The 9,884-nt window shown below is 33.4% G+C and overlaps 1 protein-coding gene across 1 annotated transcript; it reads left to right on the top strand.

Annotated features, from left to right (window-relative positions):
* The first annotated feature begins 1,920 nt into the window (after positions 1 to 1,920).
* OR4C11 (olfactory receptor family 4 subfamily C member 11) lies at positions 1,921 to 7,206 on the top strand. Its single transcript, NM_001004700.3, has 4 exons — positions 1,921 to 2,279; positions 2,887 to 3,044; positions 4,279 to 4,440; positions 5,149 to 7,206. Exon 4 carries the CDS (start codon positions 5,193 to 5,195, stop codon positions 6,123 to 6,125), a length of 933 nt encoding a protein of 310 aa, NP_001004700.2. The 5' UTR covers positions 1,921 to 2,279; positions 2,887 to 3,044; positions 4,279 to 4,440; positions 5,149 to 5,192; the 3' UTR covers positions 6,126 to 7,206.
* The last annotated feature ends 2,678 nt before the right edge of the window (positions 7,207 to 9,884 follow it).

Raw genomic sequence — 9,884 nt, 5'->3', positions numbered from 1 at the left:
TCAAAAACTAAAAATTGAGCTAATATGTGAACCAGAAATCCTACTGCTGGGCATATACCCCAAAGAAAGGAAATTAGTGTATCAAAGAAGTATCTGGACTCCTATGTTTGTTGTGGCACTGTTTCCAACAGTTAAGATTTGAAAGCAACTGAAATGTCCATCAACACATGAATAGATAAAGAAAATGTGGTGTATATACTATTCAGCCATAAAAATAAATGAGATCCAGTCATTTGCAACAACATGAATGGAATGGGAGATCATTATGTTAAGTGAAATAAGCCAGACACAGAAAGACAAACACCACATGTTCTCACTTATTTGTGGGATCTAAAAGTCAAAAGAATTGAACTCATGGACATTTGGGTAGAAGGACAATTACCAGAAACTGGAGGTGAGGAAGGCCATTGGGTACAAAAAAAGAGTTATAATGAATAAGACTTACTATTTGATAGCACAACAGGTTGATTATAGTCAATAATAATTTAATTGTATATTTCAAAATAACTTAAAGAGTATAACTGGATTATTTGCATCTCAAAGAACAAATACTTGAGGGGATGAATATCCCATTTTCCCTTATGTGCTTATTTCACATTGCATGCTTGCATCAAAATGTCTCATATACTCCATATATATATATATATATATATATATATATATATATAGTGTTAGTCCATTCTCACACTGCTAATAAAGACATACCCAAGACTAGGTAGTTTATTGAAGAAAAAGAAGTTTAATGGACTCACAATTCCACATGGCTGGTGAGACCTCACAGTCATGGTGGAAGGGGAGGCAGTAGCAACAGAATGTCTTACATGGTGGCAGGTAAGAGAGAGCTTGTGCAGGGAAACTGCCCTTTATAAAACCATAAGATCTTGTGAGACTTATTCACTACTATGAGAACAGCACAGGAAAAACCCACCTGCATGATTCAATTACCTCTCACTGGGTCCCTCCCACGACACATGGGGATTATGGGAGCTACAATGGAAGATGAGATTTAGGTGAGAACACAGACAAACCATATAACATACCTACTATGTACCCACAAAAATAAAAATAAGTAAAAATTAAAATTTTAAAAATTAAAAATAAAATAAATATCTGAGGTGATGGACATACTAATTACCCTGATTTTATTACTAAACATTGTAAAGAAATATGGAAATATCACTTCATATCCAATAAATATAATTATTACATATCAACTAAAAAATAAATGAAAGGTAGTTAACCTCTAATTCTATTTTATTTAACTATGTATTCAATTATTTATAAAGATGAACTTTTCGGTATATATTTTACAATTACGGTTATATTTCAAAACTGTGTTATTTATTTTGTTGCTAAAAATTTTTACAGCTTTGGCCGTTGTAGGCTGTTTCAGTTGACTCCTGTGTCCCCATCACCGTTTGTGTGCATGTTTTAGCACTTCTGTATTTCCACCGCTGTGAAACGCTCATTTATTTTGTACACTCTCAGTTAAAAATCTAGAATCAAACATTTCTTCAAGAAGCCTTGATCACTTTATTGGAGAATGGTATGAGAAACAAAGATTTGGTTGATAGAAGACCATTTTTAATTCTAGTCAAAAACGTCATTTATCACTCAAATTAACACCTCTAATTGCAAGAGTGGGCTACCTCTTTTTTCCATAATCCAAGACAAATTGAAGATTAAGTTATCTATCACATCTGGCTCATGTTCCAAAAGGGACACTTGAGGGGATGACATTCCCCAGACTCTTAAATTTTGCATAATTCATATTAAGCACTTCTCCTGGGAAGGCAAAAGAGAAAATTTTCCCAGTCAAAAATCCTGCGTGAGGGTAGATTTCAGAAAGTGTTGGATGAATCTGGAACCAATTTAGTTTGCCTTCTACCATTAAGATGGGGATGTAAACTTCTTTGTGAGACCAAAGAGAGCCTCGTATCAGAATAGTTATATATTAATTTATAAGCACTTTTAAAATTCTCATTTGAATAAGTAGCCTCCAAATTATATTGGGAAGAAAAGAGGGCAATTGAACATCCTAATATAGCATACTCTCTTATCAAAGCTGGTAAGGTCTGTATAGGAGAATAACTTAGTCGTATCTAACATTCAGAGAAGGTGGATCTGATCAATACAACAGCCAGGAACTAACATATACAAGACACTGGTGGGAGGTGGGGAAATTCAAGGACTTTTCTAGAAGTGCTTTACAATCTAAAGTGAAAAGATGGAAATAAAAATCATGCACAGAATTTCTTGATGGAAATGGGCACTACCAGGTAAGAGCTGTTGGTAGAAGTGGGTAGGAGATAATTAAACAGAAACAGCCTACTCTGGGCAAACTGCCTAAGGGTAGCTCTGCTCTGCAAGGAGCAGTAATAAAATAAATAATAAACAAACAGAAATAAAATCTATTGGGGTGTTCCAGGAAGTGCTCCATGAAGGTGATGATGTCGCCCACGGTAGGATGCTGGCTTCCTTCTCCTTAATGCAGCTAAATATAAAATAGTATAAAACATTAATGATTTGGATCTATAAGAATTTCTCTTAATTCTTTGATTCATTCAACAGATATCAAAAACCTACTTTTTTATAAGTGCTGTAATTCAGCAGTGAACAGATAAAAATACCCTTTCTTATGTTGCTTCATTCTAATGTATAGTACTATAAAAATGTGTAATGATGTCTATTTGTATCTATTTATTCCTGCTTATTCATGTCTATTCTGGAGATACATGCATGTGTGTGTGTCTTTTTATAATACTTAATTCAGAGAAGACAAATACAATTTTTTATTTCTGTTTGCTAAAGAGCTTTCACAAACCTTCAATACAGGAAGTGAATCTCCAGTTAGTGACAGTGTGTCTGCATATGTTGTATTTACAGAGCCCTGAGTTTCAACACTACTGCTATATCTGACTTACTCAAATTTGTGAGGCTTAATGTAGCCCTAAGAATACCACTAGAATTCCTGTCTACAACAAGACAGTTGTGATGGCTCAGGGATATGCCATCACAAGGTGAATAACAACCCATCTCCCAAGGTAAAGCTTTTAAAACATTATTTTCGATGTAGCATTATTATGACACATTGTCAAATACTACCAAAGTGAATATTTTTTAATGTAGTTATTTCTCCCATGTCTAATGCCAAGAATGCAATTTCCCCGCTCAGAGTCATTATAGTTTTTTCATACTCTTCTACTATAATTCATGTATAGAAATATGCAGGTGTGTGTAGTATATATTGTACTGATGTTAAGGAAAATGTTACAATTCTAAGCATGCAATATTAATCTCTTACATTTCAATTTACACCATATGTCAGGGACAATTTTGTGTGTGTGTGTGTGTGCGTGCGTGTGCATATAAACACACAGCTATCTGTATCTGCTTCATTCTTATTAATGTTTGCGTAAAAATATCATCCTTGATTCATTAATGTCCCTTCTGATGGGCACTAAAGTTGTTTCCTATCTCTTGCTACCATCTAAAAAGGCAAAATGATTGTCCTTGTTTCTGTGAATGAGTGCGTCTATAGGAAACGGAATAACTGGATCAATATCTATATCCGGTTGTCATATAATAGATACTGAAGTCACTTTCTAGAAGGTTGCACCCACTTACATTCCCACCAAAAGTTTGTAGGGTTGACGGTTTCCCACACCTTTGTCAAGACTATTTGTTAAGACATTTATCAAAAGGATTACTTTATTAACCTGATAGGTGAAAATTATCTAACTGGAATTTTAACTTGAATGTATTTAACTATGAAAGAAATTGAGCATCTTTCCAGAGGCATAATCTTTATAATAAGGAGAACAGTCTCTTTTAAGATGGGTTATTTTTCCAATGTTCATTTGTGTCATATTTTTCAGAAACTTATCTGTGAAATCAATTTACATTTTAAAAAGCTATGCTTTTGTCTGGCAAATGTGTTGTAAATGTATTTTATCATATTGACACTTCCCTTTTAATTTTTTACTGTGTTGCTATTTGGAATATATATGTGAAAAAGTATATGGAAAAATTTGTTCAATATTTGAAATATGCAAATAAATATTAATTCCCATTATATATTTAACTTCTCTTTCTTGAAGTCAGGATATGGGATTCATAAGAACATACAAACTAAAAATTCTATTGAAAGTTTCAGTCCTGACTTGGAGCGCATAGATCTCATTTTCTAAATCACTGATGCTTACCTGCAAACCTGAAATTTGAAAGAATGTCCTGATTTATGTGTCAATTATTCTTCCACTTTTTTCCTCATTTTAGCCTCAGTGTCTACTTGTCTCTTAAGAAAACTTTATGAAGAACCCAGAAAAATAAGGAAAGATGGACGAATTTAACTTTGGACAACACAGTATAACAAAGCAGTACAAAGTTGAATAATAAAGGATGAATTTGGAACTGAAAATAATTAGAAAATTTTCAGAGGTAAATTAAAAGGAAATAAAGATAGTCAAGGCAAGAGGTTAAAATAATTCTCATGTTGGACTGTAATGATTGACTTTTTGCTCATTGCAAAAATTTTATGTTTATTGTCTCTTTCTCTGTGTATGTGTGTGTGTGTGCACACACACCCACATACATGTAAATTTTATTAAGGAAGGTATTCTCAAGTATTTAAACAACATCATTAGAATGATCTGTATATTTAGGAAGTAAATATATTATAATGGTACTGTCAGGTTCAAATAATGTGAAAGCCTATTGTAGTAAGTCATGTACATTTTCATCTGTTACCGCAACACAGTACAAAATATTTATTATTCTTGGCTATAAGCTAAAGGAACACATTCAGCTCAGAAGACACCTACTCATACCAAACCCCTAAATTAATGTTTACTTTGTTTGAAAAATCATTTGCTTTTAAGTTATTTTTCTATTTCTAATTGTATTATTTTCATGTGTAATTTTGTCATGCCACTGCAGTCCAGCCTAGAGGACAGAGCGACATTCTGTTTCAAAAATAATAATAATAATATTTTGGTAAATATATTGAATAGTTACTATGAATTCCATTTCACTCAGAAAAAAATACAAAGAATTGTCAATAATAAGCCATTGGAAAGTTGCAATTTCATTGCAAGAATATGTATTTGACCTCTAAATTTAGAATCTATTTCTTTTTTTCTTTTGCAGATTAACTAGTTCTAATCTGTGGTTTCTTCACATCAACTGAAACAATGCAGCAAAATAACAGTGTGCCTGAATTCATACTGTTAGGATTAACACAGGATCCCTTGAGGCAGAAAATAGTGTTTGTAATCTTCTTAATTTTCTATATGGGAACTGTGGTGGGGAATATGCTCATTATTGTGACCATCAAGTCCAGCCGGACACTAGGAAGCCCCATGTACTTCTTTCTATTTTATTTGTCCTTTGCAGATTCTTGCTTTTCAACTTCCACAGCCCCTAGATTAATTGTGGATGCTCTCTCTGAAAAGAAAATTATAACCTACAATGAGTGCATGACACAAGTCTTTGCACTACATTTATTTGGCTGCATGGAGATCTTTGTCCTCATTCTCATGGCTGTTGATCGCTATGTGGCCATCTGTAAGCCCTTGCGTTACCCAACCATCATGAGCCAGCAGGTCTGCATCATCCTGATTGTTCTTGCCTGGATAGGGTCTTTAATACACTCTACAGCTCAGATTATCCTGGCCTTAAGATTGCCTTTCTGTGGACCCTATTTGATTGATCATTATTGCTGTGATTTGCAGCCCTTGTTGAAACTTGCCTGCATGGACACTTACATGATCAACCTGCTGTTGGTGTCTAACAGTGGGGCAATTTGCTCAAGTAGTTTCATGATTTTGATAATTTCATATATTGTCATCTTGCATTCACTGAGAAACCACAGTGCCAAAGGGAAGAAAAAGGCTCTCTCCGCTTGCACGTCTCACATAATTGTAGTCATCTTATTCTTTGGCCCATGTATATTCATATATACACGCCCCCCGACCACTTTCCCCATGGACAAGATGGTGGCAGTATTTTATACTATTGGAACACCCTTTCTCAATCCACTCATCTACACACTGAGGAATGCAGAAGTGAAAAATGCCATGAGAAAGTTATGGCATGGCAAAATTATTTCAGAAAACAAAGGATAAATTGAGGGCCTGACCTGATTACTTTTTCAGTCAAATCATGATTTAACAGAGTAAGTATAGACAGCAAATAGGAAAGTACCTGAATGCTGTGGGAATAATATATCATCGTATCTAAGTTTGTGGGTTCCTATGTTTTCTAGTTAACAGGAGTTGTGACTACCAAGACATTGTCTTTTGTGCCAGAACTAGGTAGAATATAGATTAATTCAGGTGATTACCTACCAGTAGTCTTTTCTTTTCAGATTATCTTCCTTTCCAGCCATGCATTTTCTAAAGTGTAAGCCTGACTATCTCTATGCACTCTAATCTAATGCATCTGATTTTCTTACTTCTTTCCTGTGCTTTTGACCACAGACTGATAAACTCCCTGAAATCTTCAATTTGGCTCTTCCTTTTCCTAAGAGCCCAATTCTGCCATTGCTGGTTGTGAACTACACATCACAACTCTGTCTACACTCTGGTTTAATAAAAAGAAAGACATTTATACAATCACAAGTGTTCAAATTTGTGAGCACCAACAAAGAAATGTCAAATTCCTTCCCTAATGCATTTGCAATAAGGTATCAAGCTTCCTCCTGAACACTTCTAGGGAAAAGGAACTAACTCAGTATATCAAGATGCCCATTTACATTTTATCACTACTTTGTATTTAAAAAGTTCTGTATTTTTGAGTCAGAGGCTAATATACTGGAGATACAACATATTTCCTGAGCCTGAAGTGCAGAAGGGTAGAACATGGTTGAAACCAAAAATGGTATGATCTATTGTGTTTAAAGTTGGGTGATGTCAATGAAATAAATAAAATTATCACAGGAATTCAGAAAACACTCAGGACACTTGTCTCTAGTGGGTTCTCCCTAAACAGGGAACCCACTACTGCTATAGGAAGTTACATCTCTATTTATTCTGTCCTAATAATTGGGGCTGCATAGAATCACAAGTTAGAATTGGCAATGGAATTTTCATGCCCAGAGTGAGGACAGCAGATAAAAAGCGGCACTTTAGATATTCATATTATGGACTTTTAATATTCATCTGTTTCAGTGTAATAAGTGTACCACATCTTTAATAACTGTTGACAGATTCAATTTCATTTTTAACCTTATTTATCATTATTTAATGAAAAATATTACCAATTGAAATTATTTTCTCCTGTCAAATATAAATTTAAAATAAATTCAATTAAATAACATGTTTTTTAATGTGCTCACTTCATTTTGTTTTCTGTGATGTAATGTTTCCAGTGTTCACACTAGTGTCCCAAAGTTGACATGTCATACACGAGAAAGGCCATATATTTAATAGACAATGGAAATGTAATGATTCCATTATTAACTTATCTAATATCCTTCACTACAACAACAAATGTACATACACACACACACACACACACATATGCACACACATACCATATAAAATCTTTTATGTTGATTTGCATTGCAGATAAATAATTGAACATTAAAAGTTAGGAAAAAGGTATATGGGTAAGCACAGGCACAGGAAAAAAAAGAAAACGAATAAACTAAAATATAAATAAATAAATCAAGATTGGAAAATATAATAAGAGGAAGCTATATGGGGAAGAATATTGAAATGTTTTGTGTATTGTAGAAGTACTATTAGTTAAATCGAAATGGAAAATAAAGATAAAATATTTTAAATGTTCTGCAACACCATATCCATTCAATGGGTAACTTTGGAGTGACCATCCTCCCTCAAAAGTGATTGACCTAAAAGAAAAAGTATGAATTCTGATTATCTCTTCATTTCAGGAACAAGTAGCGTTTAAATGTGTCCAAATTCTTTGTTTTTATTATACTTGTGTCTACTAAAATAATACAAAGTTTGGTATTTCTATTGAAAAATTAAATTTCAAGGTGAAAAATCTAAAGGTGAGAGAACTGAACAAATTAGTCCCTTGAGATTGTCTTGCTGAGAAGTAACAGCATTAAGGTTTTAACTCAGTTCTATATGTCTCCTATGTTGGTAAAAAAAAATCTTAATTCAAACATCTTTTCAAATGGCCAAAAATATAAAAAGTATAAGGAAGTTGATGCAGTGATTATGAATTGCACTTATTTTAACTTTAAGATGGGTGGTGGAATATAATGATTAAAGTAGTAAGCACTCTAGAGTCACACTACATAAATCCAAATCCTGGCTTTACCAATTTAAAGCCTTGTAACTTTAAGAAAAATATATGAAATCTTAGGCCTAATTTTTATCTGTAAATCAAAAGTTAAAATAGTTTATATTTAATTGGCTTGTCATCAGAATTAAAGAAAATGATATTCATAAAGAGCTTAAAAATAACAAATTTAATATGAACCGTTTTCACAATAAAATAGATTTTTCAAAAAATTAATTTAAATCTATGTTTTTATTACTATAAACCATCCATATTTATTAACGTTTTTCTTTTATTTTCAAAGAATGTCATTTATAATTTGAAATAAAATTTAACTGAAAATAATACCGTCAAGTTTTGTTTTAATAGGATTAAATAAAAACATAACAGAATTTTAAGCATATTGGTATCACTTTAAAATAAAAGGAGGGAGTCTTTATGGAACATGCTCCGGTATCTGCACATTTGCATCTTCAACTTTAAATAGTCCGTATGTAAAGGAAAGAGAGGAGTATCCTTCTGATATGAACATATAAGAGGGTAATCATAAAGTAGGGCAAAGGGATATCAATTTAAATTGGTTTCTGGCATGTAACTGAGGTTTAAAATAGGAGAGATAAGAGGTGAACAAACTCTAGATTATCATTTACATATAGTTATTAGCACATAAGCTGGAATAGTGTATTCTACTTTTCACTCTTCTGATTCCTTCTCTATTCTTCATTTCACCTGAATGCTGACACAAGGTGCAAGAGACAGATGATTGAAAATCTATTTATATTGAGGTCCCACAAGAACAATTTTTGGTTAATTGATTGGACTACTGAATACTTAATGAAATTTTCTTTCCTCTTTAACCTCCTTTTCCCTTGTCTTCCCATCTATTTTCTACCATGGTTATACACACACTTTTAGAAGACACCATTGAGAAGCAGTGTTGTAAAAACAAAGTAAAATTAGAGAGGAACATATATGGGTAGATAAGCATATAAAAATATGCTTAACACTATGTGTTATTAAGGAATTGTGAATTAAAACAATGAGATACAACTACACCCCTATTATAATGACCAGAATTCAAAATAATAACAACACCAAATGTTGACAAGGATGTGGGACAACAGGAACTCTTATACATTGCATAGAAAGGGAAATGAAAATTGACATTGAAGAAGCTTAAAGTTTTCCAAATAGGTTGAACCTAAAAATATCATTATAAAGACACATTGTAAATAAAATATTAGAATGAAAAGACAAAGAGGTTGATCATGGAAAGTAATGTTAGCAGCATGGCAGAATAGGAGTTCTCCAGCTTCACTCCCCTGATGCTGACAGAAATTCAACTAGCAACTAACCAGAGGCAAAAAAATACTATAATGAGCATTCCAGAACTTGAGAGTGAGTCTGAGAAACCCTTTTGGACCAGAGAACTGAGGAAAGCCACATTTTCACATCTTCCTCATCCCAGGAGCCAACTGCAAGTCAGTGTTATCCATGGAGGGAGCGTCTGCCCCCATTAAACCCCAGCAGCTGCATCATAAGTGGACCAAGCCTCAGTACTCTGCTTAAGACTACCCTAGGCTGGGAGGCAAGCCCAAGTAAAAACATATCAAGCGTAGTCTTAGGCCCTG

This window comes from Homo sapiens, chromosome 11 (genome assembly GCF_000001405.40).
Source record: "Homo sapiens chromosome 11, GRCh38.p14 Primary Assembly".
NCBI lineage: Eukaryota > Metazoa > Chordata > Mammalia > Primates > Hominidae > Homo > Homo sapiens.
The sequence above is the reverse complement of the archived record's forward strand: the minus strand, read 5'-3'. Positions and strand labels throughout refer to the sequence as shown.

Excerpts from the sequence above, each read along its gene's own strand:
- OR4C11 (NM_001004700.3), top strand. The coding sequence starts at position 5,193 with ATGCAGCAAAATAACAGTGTGCCTGAATTCATACTGTTAGGATTAACA.